Here is a 14,006-nt window from a genome sequence, read left to right on the forward strand (position 1 = left end):
CTTGCCCCCCACCCCACAACAGGCCCCGGTGAGTGATGTTCCCCTCCCTGTGTCCATGTGCTCTCATTGTTCAACTCCCACTTATGAGTGAGAACATGCAGTGTTTGGTTTTCTGTTGCTGTGTTAGTATGCTGAGGATGATGGTTTCCAGCTTCTTCCATGTCCCTGCAAAGGACATGAACTCATTCTTTTTTATGGCTGCAGAGTATTCCATGGTGCGTATGTGCCACATTTTCTTTATCCAGTCTATCTATCATTGATGGCCATTTGGGTTGGTTCCAAGTCTTTGCTATTGTAAACAGCGCTACAATAAACATACATGTGCATGTGTCTTTATAGTAGAATGATTTATTACCCTTTGGGTATATACCCAGTAAAGGGATTGCTGGGTCAAATGGTATTTCTGGTTCTAGATCCTTGAGGAATCACCACACTGTCTTCCACAATGGTTGAATTAATTTACACTCCTATCAACAGTGTAAAAGCATTCCTACTTCTCTGCATCCTCACCAGCATCTGTTGTTTCCAGACTTAATAATTGCCACTCTAACTGGTGTGAGAGGGTATCTCATTGTGGTTTTGATTTGCATTTCTCTAATGACCAGTGATGATGAGCTTTTTTCATATGTTTGTTGGCCACATGAATGTCTTCTTTTGAGAAGTGTCTGTTCATACACTTTGTCCACTTTTTGATGGGATTGTTTGTTTTTTTCTTGTAAATTTGTTTAAGTTCCTTATAGATTCTGGATATTAGACCTTTGTCAGATGGATAGATTGCAAAAATTTTCTCCCATTCTGTAGGTTGCCTGTTCACTCTGATGATAGTTTCTTTTGCTGAGCAGAAGCTCTTTTGTTTAATTAGGTCCCATTTGTCAATTTTGGCTTTTGTTGCAATTGGTTTTGGTGTTTTATTCACGAAGTCTTTGCCCATGACTATGTCCTGCATGTTATGGCCTAGGTTTTCTTCTAGGGTTTTTATGGTTTTAGGTTTTACGTTTAAGTTTTTAATCCATCTTGAGTTAATTTTTTGTACAAGGTGTAAGGAAGGAGTCTAGTTTCTGTTTTCTGCATATGGCTAGTCAGTTTTCCCAGCACCATTTATTAAATAGAGAATCCTTCCCTGATTGCTTGTTTTTGTCAGGTTTGTGGAAGATCAGGTGGTTGTAGATGTGTGGTGTTATTTCTGAGGCCTCTGTTCTGCTCCATTTGTCTATATATCTGTTTTGGTACCAGTGCCATGCTGTTTTGGTTACTGTAGCCTTGTAATATAGTTTGAGGTCAGGTAGCATGATGCCTCCAGCTTTGTTCTTCCTTTTTGCTTAGTATTGTCTTGGCTATACAGGCTCTTTTTTGGTTCCATATGCAATTTAAAGTAGTTTTTTCTAGTTCTGTGAAGAAAGTCAATGGTAGCTTGATGGGAATAGCATTGAATCTATCAATTACTTTGGGAAGTATAGCCACCTTTGACAATATTAATTCTTCCTATTCATGAGCATGGAATGTTTTTCCATTTGTTTGTGTATTCTCCTATTTCCTTGAGCAGTGATTTATAGTTCTCCTTGAAGAGGTCCTTCACGTCCCTTGTAAATTGTATTCCTAGGTATTTTATTTCCTTTGTAGCAGTTGTGAATGGGAGTTCACTCATGACTTGGCTCTCTGCTTGTCTATTACTGATGTATAGAAATGCTTGTGATTTTTACACACTGATTTTGTATTCTGAGACTTTGCTGAAGTTGTTTATCAGCTTAAGGAGCTTTTGAGCTAAGACAATGGGGTTTTCTAAATATACAATTATGTCATCTGCAAACAGAGACAATTTGACTTCCTGTCTTCCTATTTAAATACCCTTTACTTCTTTCTCTTGCCTGATTGCTCTGGCCAGAACTTCCAATACTATGTTGAATACAAGTGGTGGGAGAGGCATCCTTGTCTTGTGCCAGTTTTCAGAGGGAATGCTTCCAGCTTTTGCCCATTTAGTATGATATTGGCTATGGATTTGTCATAAATAGTTCTTTTTTTTGAGATATGTTCCAATAACACCTAGTTTATTGAGAATGTTTAGCATGTTGAATTTCATCAAAGGCCTTTTCTGCATCTATTGAGATAATCATGTGGTTTTTGTCATTGGTTCTGTTTATTTGATGGATTATGCTAATTGATTTTCATGTGTTGAACCAGCCTTGCATCCCAGGGATGAAGCAAACTTGATCATGGTGGATGTGCTTTTTGATGTGCTGCTGGATTCAGTTTGCCAGTATTTTGTTGAAAATTTTCGCATAGATGTTCATCAGGAATATTGGCCTGAAATTTTCTTTTTTTTGTTGTTTCTCTGCCAGGTTTTGGAATCAGGATGATGCTGACCTCCAAAAATGACTTAGGGAGGAGTCCCTTTTTTTCTGTTGTTTGGAGTAATTTCAGAGGGAATGGTACCAGCTTCCCTTTGTACCTCTGGTAGAATTTGGCTGTGAATCCGTCTGGTCCCAGGCTTTTTTTTGGTTGGTAAGCATTAATTACTGTCTCAATTTCAGAACTTCTTATTGGTCTGTTCAGGGATTCAACTTCTTCCTGGTTTAGTCTTAGAGGGTATATATGTCCAGGGATTTATCCATTTCTTCTAGATTTTCTAGTTTATTTTTGTAGAGGTGTTTATAGTATTCTCTGATAGTAGTTTGCATTTCTGTGGGATCAGTAGTGAGCTCCCCCTTATCATTTTTTCTTGTGTCTATTTGATTCTTCTCTTTTCTTCTTTATTAGTCTGGCAAGCCGTCTATCTATTTTGTTAATCTTTTCAAAAAATCAGCTCCTGGATTCATCGATTTTTTTGAAGGGTTTTTCATGTCTCTATCTCTCTCAGTTCTGCTCTGATCTTAGTTATTTCTTGTCTTCTGCTAGCTTTTGAATTTGTTTGCTCTTGCTTCTCTAGTTCTTTTAATTGTGATGTTACAGGGTCAATTTTAGATCTTTCCACTTTCTTATGTGGGCATTTAGTGCTATAAATTTCCCTCTAAACACTTCTTTAGCTGTGTCCCAGATTCTTGTACATTGTCTTTTTGTTCTCCTTGGTTTCAAAGAATTTTGTTATTTCTGCCTTAATTTCGTTATTTACCCAGCAGTCATTCATGAGCAGGTTGTTCAGCTTCCGTGTAGTTTTGCAATTTTGAGGCAGTTCCTAAATCCTGAGTTCCAATTTGATTGCACTGTGGTCTGAGAGGCTGTTTGTTATGATTTCCATTCTTTTGCATTTGTTGAGGAGTGTTTTACTTCCATTTATGTGGTTACTTTTGGAATAAGTACTATATGGTGCTGAGAAGAATGTATATTCTGTTGATCTGGGGTGAAGAGTTCTGTAGATAGCTATTAGGTCCACTTGGTCCAGAGCTGAGTTCAAGTCCTGAATATCCTTGTTAATTTTCTGTATTGTTGATCTGTCTAACATTGAGAGTGGGGTGTCAAAGTCTCTCACTATTCTTGGGTGAGAGTCTAAGTCTCTTTGTAGTCTCTAAGAACTTGTTTTATGAATCTGGGTGCTCCTGTATTGGGTGCATATATATTTAGGATAGTTAGCTCTTCTTCTTCTTTTTTTTTTATTATACTTTAAGTTTTAGGGTACATGTGCACATTGTGCAGGTTAGTTACATATGTATACATGTGCCATGCTGGTGCGCTGCACCCACTAACTCATCATCTAGCATTAGGTATATCTCCCAATGCTATCCCTCCCGCCTCCCCCAACCCCACAACAGGCCCCAGAGTGTGATGTTCCCCTTCCTGTGTCCATGTGTTCTCATTGTTCAATTCCCACCTATGAGTGAGAATATGCGGTGTTTGGTTTTTTGTTCTTGCGATAAGTTAGCTCTTCTTGTTGCATTGATTCCTTTACCATTATGTAATGTGCTTCTTTGTCTTTTGATCTATGCTGGTTAAAGTCTGATTTATCAGAGACTAGAATTGCAACTCCTACTTTTTTTTTTTTTTTGCTTTCCATTTGCTTGGTAAATATTTCTCCATCCCTTTATTTTGAGCCTATGTGTGTCTTTGCATGTGAGATGGGTCTCCTGAATACAGCACACAGATAGGTCTTGACTCTTTATCCAATTTGCCAGTCTGTGTCTTTTAATTGGGGCATTTAGCCCATATACATTTAAGGTTCATATTGTTATGTGTGAATTTGACCCTGTCATTATAATGCTGGCTGGTTATTTTGTACACTAGTTGATGCAGTTTCTCCAAGTGTCATTGGTCTTTACATGTTGGTGTGTTTTTGCAGTGGCTGGTACCGGTTGTTCCTTTCCATATTTAGTGCTTCCTTCAGAAGCTCTTGTAAGGCAGGCCTGGTGGTAACAAAATCCCTCAGCATTTGCTTGTCTGTAAAGGGTTTTATTTTTCCTTCGTTTATGAAACAGTTTGGCTGGATATGAAATTCTGGGTTGAAAATTCTTTTCTTTCAGAATGTTGAGTATTGGTCCCCACTCTCTTCTAGCTTATAGAGTTTCTGCAAAGAGATCTGCTGTTAGTCTGGTGGACTTCCCTTTGTAGGTAACACGACCTTTCTCTCTGGCTGCTCTTAACATTTTTTCCTTTGCTTCAACCTTGGTTGTCTTGAGGTTGCTCTTCTCGAGGAGCATCTTAGTAGTCTTCTCTGTATTTTCTGAATTTGAATGTTGGTCTATCTTGCTAGGTTTGGGACCTTCTCCTGCATAATATCCTGAAGTGTGTTTTCCACCTTGGTTCCATTGTCCCCGTCACTTTCAGGGACCCCAATCAACTGTAGGTTTGGTCTTTTCACAATAGTTCCATATTTTTGGAGGCTTTGTTCATTCTTTTTCAATCTTTTTTCTCTAATCTCATCTTCATGCCTTATTTCAGTAAGTTGATATTCAACCTCTGATATCCTTTCTTCCACTTGATCTATTTGGCTATTGATAGTTATGTATGCTTCATGAAGTTCTCTTGCTATGTTTTTCAGCTCCATCAGGTCACTTATATTCTTTTCTAAACTGGTTATTCTAATTAGCAGTTTCTGTAACCTTTTGTCAAGGTTCTTAGCTTCATTGCATTGAGTTACAACATGCTCCTTTAGCTCAGAGGAGTTTGTTATTACCCACAGTCTACCTCTGTCAATTTGTCAAACTCATTCTCTGTCCAGTTTTGTGTTCTTGCTGGAGAGGACTTGCAATCATTTGAAGGAGAAGGGGCATTCTGGTTTCTGGAATTTTCAGCATTTTTGCACTGGTTTTCCTCATATTTGTGGATTCATCTACCTTTGATATTTGTGGCTAATGACCTTTGGATGGGGTTTCTGTGTGGGGCTTCTTTTTGTTGATGTTGATGTTATTGCTTTCTTTTTGTTAGTTTTTCTTCTAACAGTCAGGTCCCTCTTCTGCAGGTCTGCTGCAGTTTGCTAGAGGTCCACTCCAAACCCTATTTGCCTGGGTATCACCAGCAGAGGCTGCAGAACAGCAAAGATTGCTGCCTGCTCCTTCCTCTGGAAGCTCTGTCCCAGAGGGGCACTGGCCTGATGCCATCTGGAACTCTCCTGTATGAGGTGTTCGTCAACCCCTGTTGGGAGGTCTCTCTCAGTCAGGAGGCACGGGGGTCAGGGACCCACTTAAGGAGGCAGTCTGTCCCTTAGCAGAGCTCAAGTGCTGTGCTGGTAGAACCCTTATTGTCAGGATCCACTGCTGTCTTCAGAGTCGGCAGGCAGGAACGTTTTATTCTGCTGAAGCTGTGCCCACAGCCATGCCTTCCCCCAGTGGCTCTGTCCCAATGAGATGGGAGTTTTATCTATAAGCCCCTGACTGGGGCTGCTGCCTTTCTTTCAGAGAGGCCCTGCCCAGTGAAGAAGAATCTAGAGAGGCGGTCTAGTGTGAGCACAGATTTCTATTCTTAAGACTGAGTATAAGCTAAAAGCTGAATTAGAGTCTCAAGATTCTCTCTCTGTAAGAAGCTGGGTTACAGTCAAGTTTGTTTTGTTTTGTTTTGTTTTTAGAGACCAGGTTCTTGCTCTATCACCTAGGCTGGAGTGAGCAATCATAGCTCACTGTGGCCCTGACTTCCTGGCCTCAAGTGATCCTCCCACTTCTGCCTCCTGAGTAGCTGGAACTACAGCTGTGTATTAGTCTGTTCTCATGTGGCTAATAAAGACATACCCGAGACTAAGTAATTTATAAAGGAAAGATTTTTAATGGACTCACAGTTCCACATGGCTGGGGAAGCCTCACAATCGTGGTGGAAGATGAAGGAAGAGCAAAGAGACGTCTTACATGGCAGCAGGCAAGAAAGCTTGTGCAAGGGAACTCCCATTTATAAAACCATCAGATCTTGCGAGACTTATTCACTACCATGAGGACAGTATGGGGGAACCAGCCCTATGAGTCAGTTATCTCCACCTGGCCCTGTTCTTGACACTTGGGGATTATTACAGTTCAAGGTGAGATTTGGGTGGGGACAAGCCATATCAAGGTGCATGCCACCACACACACCTAACTTTATTTTATTTTTTAGAGATAGGATTGGCCCAGGCTGGTCTCAAACTCCTGGGCTTAAGCAATCCTCCTGCCTCAGCCTCTGGAAGTGCTAGGATTACAGACATGAGCCACAGTGCTAGGCCCAAGCATCTTTGATTGGAAGCTGCCTGCTGTACTGGAAGTCCCGCTCTTTGTTTGCAGTGGAGATGATTCATTCATTCTCTGACTCCTAGGCCTGGCTCTGGGCTGGTAAATTCTTCCTCACTTTGTTTCAAGTGGGGATCCCCTCCCCAAATCCTGGGCTGGAAGATTCTTCCCTGGCTCTTCATGAAGGCTCTCTGTTCTCTATTTGGCCCTGCTCCTCCCACGGGAATCTTTCAGTCCACTGAAACTTCCTTCTTGAACCCTGGCTAACTATATGCTCCACCAGCTCTGTCCATCTTCTTAGTGCATGAGCTGGCTGAGGATAATTTAGAACTTGATTGGTCTTTCTGGGAAACTTAAGACCTCCCCAAAACGGCCCCTCTAAGACCTCCGTCTTCCCATTATTTCCTCCTCCTTCCTCCTCCGACCACCTTTGATCTTCCCTTCAGCTCCCTTGAATCCTTTGATGTGTCCCCTTTAAACTCCTCCCCCTCCTGCCTCTGTCCACCCCCACCAGACATTTCTCTTTCCCAGCCCTTGGCTCCCTCAGCCATTTCAGTCCCCCTGCCCCAATCAGGGGCTCTCAGGGGACTCATGTTATCCCAAAAGCAACTTCCTGAAGCTGAAAAGAAAAAAGCTGATTGGAATTAGATTAAATTTTTATCCACTCACGTGGGCTGTGAGGACATTCAGGCAGCCCCCAGCATCTCCTTAGTAACATGCTTGAAATGTGATCCACAGGCTCCAAGGGATTACATAACAGGGCAGAAGGAAATCTTAAAAATCTCCCCCACAAACACATACACATACACAAAAGCAACACACAATTCAGATACAAATATCAAAGATAAGAGTGTATTAAAATTTTAGAATGGGCCTTGTGCAGTGGCTCATGCCTGTAATCCCAGCACTTTGGGAAGCCGAGGTGAGCAGATCACTTGAGGCCAGGAGTTTGAGACCAGCCTGACCAACAAACTGAGACCCAGTTTCTACTAAAAATACAAAAAGTAGCAAAGTGTGGTGGTGCATGGCTGTAATCCCAGCAATTCAGGAGGCTGAGGCATGAGAATCACTTGAGCCAAGATCAGGCCTGCACTCCAGCCTGGGCAACAGAGCGAGATTATCTCAAAAAAAAAAAAAAAAAAAGGAACGGAAAGCTGTAAGATCTCTATTTGCATTTGTCCATGTATGTATGTGATGTACATGTGATAGTTTTCTATCTCCACATGGTGTTGCCAAAATTAATTAATAAAAGAGCTCTGTCCAGTCTCTACCAAAAATACAAAAAAATTAGCCGGGTGTGGTGGCGGGCACCTGTATTCCCAGCTACTCAGGAGCCTGAGGCAGGAGAATCACTTGAACCTACGAGGCGGAGGTTGCAGTGAGCCGAGATCGTGCCATTGCACTCCAGCCTGGGTGACAGAGCAAGACTGTGTCAAAAAAATAAAAATAAAAATAAGTACTTATATAATTTAAATATTCCTAAAACTCTCAGAAATAAAGGAACTATATTGCTCTTCAAGTTTATATGACTTAGGTAAATCTTTGATATGTAAGATTAGTTTAATATTATTGGCTTAATAAAAACAGTTGTGTCTTCTGAGTTCCAGCATTAAATGTAATATGAGCATACATTTCTATTCAACTTGGGTTTACTAGTTAAATAAGCTAATATTTTATCTACTGGATGTTTAAGAATATGAAAATTGTTAATATAATATGAGAACAAATGTACGAGTAAAGATGCAGTAAAAGTGAATTGCTTGAAGTCCATTATTTCACTTATATCAAACACAATAGTAAAGCAAACACAATAGTAAAGCAAACACAATAATAAAGCAAACACAACAGTAAAGCAAACACAATAGTAAAGCAAAAGCTCTATGTATTTAATAATTTAGGTTTTTATTTTTATGATATTTGTTTAACATGCATGTGCTGTAAAAATAGTTAACAGAGGAAGAATTTGAGATGATGGCTAGCTTTCTTTCTTTTCTTTTCTTTCTTTCTTTTTTTTTTTTTTGGTAGGATCTTGCTCTGTTGCCCAGGCTGGAGTGCAATAGCATGATCACAGGCTACTGCAGGCTCAAACTCCTGGCCTCAGGCAATCCTGCTGCCTCAGCCTCCTAAAGTGCTGGGATTATAGGCATGAGCCACTACACTTGGTGCTAGCTTTGTTTAATACCTGAAAACAATTTTCAAAATCTTTTTGGTAACTTGCAACCTTGGAGTTATGCTAAGTTAAATTAAGTAACAGAAATCCATTAAATGTCTACATTGTTTCTAAGTACAATAAACTACCAAAACATTCATGGCTAAGTGTATTAGTCCATTTTCACACTGCTATAAAGAACTTCCCTGAGACTAGGTAATTTATAAAGGAAAGAAGTTTAATTGACTCAGAGTTCCACATGGCTGGGGAAGCTTCAAGAAACTTAAAATCACGGTGGAAAAGGAAGCAGGCACCTTCTTCACAAGGCGGCAGGAGGGAGAAGAGGGAAAGAGGAACTTCCAAACACTTATAAAACCATCAGATCTCATGATAACTCACTCAGTATCATGAGAACAGCATGGGGGAAATCACCCCCATGATCCTATCACCTCCCTCCCTCGACACGTGGGGATTACTATTTGAGATGAGATTTGGGTGGGGACACAGAGCCAAATCATATCATTAAGATTAAGTTTAAATTTATATACTTTGGAGTTTTTCTTTTTACATGGTATAGGTAGATAAAATACATTTGGATCTGTTAGTAAACATTCTTTTTGTCATATTGAAAAATTTTACTATAAAGAAACAGTATATGTCTCTAGAAATTGTCAGATAGTATATTCATAAAACACTTGTTAGTATTTGTATAGTATTTTGCTAATCTGCTATAGAATACTGGTATGTGATGACAGTTCACAATTGTATGCTTCCTAGTTTTCTCTGTAAAAGAAAGGTTACTAATAGTTAAAATTATAATTAATATATGTAATTAAAACTATTAAAAATAATAAAGCTGGAGGAAAACAACTGCATATGAAAAGTATGCAAGGAAAATCGGATGTGTATGTATGCAAAGAAAGTAAGATGAAGGTATGTTTTTTTGTTAAGAGAAAGAGGGTAATTTTATTTTAATGTATTAATAGAACATCTAGTTGTTCCAGAATGAGAAAGGAAAATGTGGGGCAGGAGGTGAGGGGACCTGAATGGATGTAGAAGCGTTGTGGAAAAGGAATCTTGGAAAAGGAATTTTATGTATGGTCAAGCTGGCTAAGATTTGAATGGATTTATTTATGTTTTTTTAAGCCCTAATATCAGAAGTACGTTGGTGCAAAACTAAAATTTGGTTTTTCTCTCTGTTAAAACAACAAAGTTTTCTTAGAAAGAGGTTGTAAAAGGTTTTTCTTCACCTTTTAAATAATCTGTCTAGGAAAGCAAGATTTTACATATTCTCAGAAGAATCTCCTGTGCTTTATGTTAATCTTTGTCATGTCCTTGATTATTTAAGAGTACCAACACTTGTCACTTTTAAAAGAGCTGAAGTTTTTTTTGTGTGTGTGTGTGACAATTTTGCCTTCCCAAAAATCAAATCCTAAATGAAATCTTGTTCTCAAACTGACTTTGAGATTTCCCAGAGGGCTTCTTGAAAATCTTCAAGGATTGGTTCTTTAATCTTGTAAAAAGAGAAAATATAAAAATAAATTGGTGTATTTGATATGTTTAATGCATGAAAAGATGTTGTCACATAAGAAGGGATGCTTATCCTTTCCTGTGTTATATTTAGGGACATGAATAAGCTGTGGGGTCCTAATAAGGGAAAAAGAATCAGGCTGGTGGGAGCAGGAGAAAGCAAAAAGAAAAGGCAGATAAGCCATGCGTCTGTCCTTCTTCATGGTCCAGGACACACAGTCCTCCTGTACAAATAACTCACAATCTGCCTGTGCCCAGCTATCACCAGACCCTTGCCTGACAGAAAAATGCAAGCTAGCTCACTGCAACCTTGGTATTATCAGTATTGCACGCAGCCCTCTCCATCACAAGCACCATCCTATTAAATCCCCAGCAGTCAGCTCCTCTCTTGCTGATCTGCCTGTTGCTTTCTTGCAATGTATTTTCCTATTTTCGCTAAAAAATTTGCCTTTCTGTACCGACAATTGTCTTGGTAAATTCTTTTACCACCCACACCACCAGCCCCAGCTAGTTGCTATCCATGACATTTGGGTGGCCCATATGAAGACTCTCTCTTCTTACAGGAAACCCTCTCCCCTCTCTCTTTCCCAACCCAGGGCCCTCGGTGGACAGCGTCTAAGCATGGAGACAACTGAAGGTCTCTGGCCGAAGTTACACTCTGGTGGGACTGAAAGGTGTCCATATGAAAGTGTCTAACTGCCACCACCCATCAGGTGAGGGACCTAAGTTTATTTTCTCTTTTCAGTCTTCCAGCAGCCGGCTGCTAGTATCCCTCTAGCAACTAACAGCAACCAGCTGGGGCTGCTACTCAGTGTTGCCTAAAGGCCAAAGGGTGAACAGGGTTGGCTGCCTTGCCTGTGATGGAGGAAAATTCCCTCTTCTCTCTTTTCTGGCCAAAGGTCCCTAATCCCTATGTATGACATGACTGGCAGCGGTAGCTCATTCAGAGTGACTTCACACACATTTTGGGTGACTCATATCCTCTCTTTCTCACTCTAAATTCTCCTGTGGAGTCACCCAGTCATCTTGCTCTGGATGTTGCTAAATCAGGTGATCCCAGACAGCCTCAGAATGGTACATCTTTCTTTACCCACCCCCTCTCCTGGACTGGCACCAAGCCAAGTTGTTCCTTTACCCTTTTTCCTCATACCTGGGTTAATCACCCAGCATAACAGCATACCTGGACTGGCCATCTGGCATAAGGCACCAGCATGAAGAGGTCTTTTCTAATGGGTGGGACACCCCTTTAGAAAGTGCACCTGAGGCCAGGCGAGGTGGCTCACACCTGTAATCTCAGCATTTTGGGAGGCCGAGGCAAGCAGATCACGATGTCAGGAGTTCAAGTCCAGTCTGACCAACATGGTGAAACCCCATCTCTACTAAAGATACAAAAAATTAGCTGAGCGCGGTGGCGTATGCCTGTAACTCTAGCTACTGGGGAGGCTGAGGCAGGAGAATCACTTGAACCCAGGAGGTAGAGGTTGCAGTGAGCTGAGATCCCCCCATTGCACTCCAGCCTGGGTGACAAGGCGAGACTCCATCTCAAAAAAAAAAAAGAAAGAAAAAAAGAAAATGCACCCAAGTCCCTAAGCAGACATGAGTGAAACCCTTTTCCTCAGTGGGATGCCCCAAGAGAATGTGTGGTTCATGTCCCCAGGAGATGTTAGCCCTGAGTGGCTCATTTTCCAGTCCTTCCGTCGGACCCATCTATTCCTTCAAACTCACTTCTAGGCTGCATTCCAAAGCACTGGGACAAATTCAACCCCCAAACCCTCAAAAAGGAAGGTCTAATTTTCTTGTGAAATAAAGCATGGCCCCTCTGCAGAAAATCCTCAAATTAGTCTCCTCAGTCTTTTGTAACCAAGAGCAGAATAAGGAGGACAGGGCTAAGGAGAAAGAAAAATACAGGGACAAAAGGCAAGCTCAACTGTTGGCTGCTGTACAAGCCCCAGCCCCTCCCCATAGCTCTAAGGAAACTTCTCCAGGTAGTTGCCAGGCCACTGGAAGGCAAACTACCCCAATGGGATAAATGGGAAAAAGCTCTACATGGCTCTGCCACAAGCTCAGCCACTGGAAATGAAGCTTCCTTGAGGGCTGAAGTGCCTCCAGGATGGAATTCCAACCCTTGGTGGCCTTGAACTGAAGGGGCTCTCTGCTCCAGCTGCTTCCAAATCAGACACCACCATCAACACAACAAAACCAAGGGCAACTCTGAAGGTGGCAAGTGAAATTATAAATTTCCCTTTTAAGTTCAAAAGCTACTTACTCTGTACTAATCTTCCCTGAACAACTCTCCTCCAAATTCTGTCAGGTAATGAGGGCAAGCAGCACCTGCTCCCTCCCCCAAAAAATTCACACCCCTTTATATTACTTAAGGAACCAACGACCTTTCTCCCAACAGTCCCTATAGTATCTAAATAACCCAAACTCCTTTGGGACAAAAATATACTTTCCAAAATGGGTGCCTGCTTAATATTTACCCAACTTCTGAATTCATCTTTCCCTCTAATAGCCCTATTTCTCCCAGGAATGCCAGCTAAATCTTTAACCAATAACCTTCACCTAGATAGTCTTACCTCCAGGGTTAAAAATAGCCCACACTTATTCAGACAAACCCTAGCAAGAAATCTAACCAAGCAATCTCTAAGGGGGACTAACTTCTACAGTGTGTAGATCACCTCCTCATTTGCTCCCCCTTCACAGAACTCACACAGCAATGTGCAGTACAAACCTTAACTTCTTAACTAAAGGAAAATAATTGTTGTCTAATCCAAAAGCTATTTAAAAGTTATAGTTGTTCTAACATTGGTTCCCTACATTGAAACAAAATTTTCTTAAGGTATTAATGATGGCAGCAGTGGGCCATCTGGAGTTGACACTGCCATCACACAAGCTGCAGCAGGGAGGCATGGCTGGGGCTTCATGCTCAATGAAGCCAGTAAAGTGGGGGACAAGCAGGAGCCCTACCCCTTCTGAGTTGAAGCAGGAGCTCCTTGGATGCAGCTGCAGCCACCCAAGACACAGTTCCAGTTCCAGACATCCCTGTGCTCCCACTCCATGGAGCAAGCAAGAGCCCTGACCCTGGGATACAGCTGCAGCTGCCCAAACTACACCTGTGGACCTAGGCATCCCTGCACTCTTGGGGGCCCAAGAAGGCCCCCACTGCCCTTGCAGGCTTGGAAGTGCCTGCTCCCACTGCCTGGCTTCTCCCTGCTGTCAGTGCCTGCTCCAATCTTGGAGCAAAGTTGGGGCTGAGCCTGGGCATTGTTGCAGCCTGGCTGGGTGTGCACACACTTGGGGCAGTGCTGACACACCAGGCCCCTGTTACCTCAGAACCCTCCAGATTTTGGGTGCGGATGAGCATGGAAGGGAAGCCAAGGCAGGACTGAGGCCAGCTCAGCAGCGCTGGCCTGCAGGCAGCCTTTGGTATGAACAGCCTGGGCACCATGAACCACAGCAGGAGGCAGACAGCCTCCTGGGCAGAAGGGGGCAAGTCCCAATGAAGCCCCACCTTCAGTCCAGGGAGGGCCTGAAGGCTGGAGGCCAGGCTGCCAGTCCCACGGACTGGAGTGGGAACTTACAGTGCCTTTTCCAGGCCTGCCCATGGCCACCCATGGACCAACTGCTGTGCACTTCCTCCCCTGCAGGCCCATAAAATCCCCAGGCTCAGCCAAACTTGGGCAGATATCAGTATGACCAGCTGCAGAGAGGAG

General features: G+C 42.1%; 2 annotated features.

Moving 5' to 3' along the window:
- Window positions 5,021–5,522: an enhancer, noted in NCBI's record as "H3K27ac hESC enhancer chr2:97087565-97088066 (GRCh37/hg19 assembly coordinates)". NCBI's record gives its function as "activates a minimal SCP1, AML or CMV promoter by ChIP-STARR-seq in primed H9 embryonic stem cells {active_cell/tissue: H9 hESC(primed)}" and the evidence as "EXISTENCE:reporter gene assay evidence [ECO:0000049][PMID:30033119]".
- Window positions 10,649–11,848: an enhancer, noted in NCBI's record as "P300/CBP strongly-dependent group 1 enhancer chr2:97093193-97094392 (GRCh37/hg19 assembly coordinates)". NCBI's record gives its function as "activates an origin of replication core promoter dependent on BRD2, BRD4, P300/CBP, MED14 and CDK7 cofactors, with strong dependence on P300/CBP, by STARR-seq in HCT116 cells {active_cell/tissue: HCT116}" and the evidence as "EXISTENCE:reporter gene assay evidence [ECO:0000049][PMID:35650434]".

Source organism: Homo sapiens, chromosome 2, assembly GCF_000001405.40.
Source record: "Homo sapiens chromosome 2, GRCh38.p14 Primary Assembly".
NCBI lineage: Eukaryota > Metazoa > Chordata > Mammalia > Primates > Hominidae > Homo > Homo sapiens.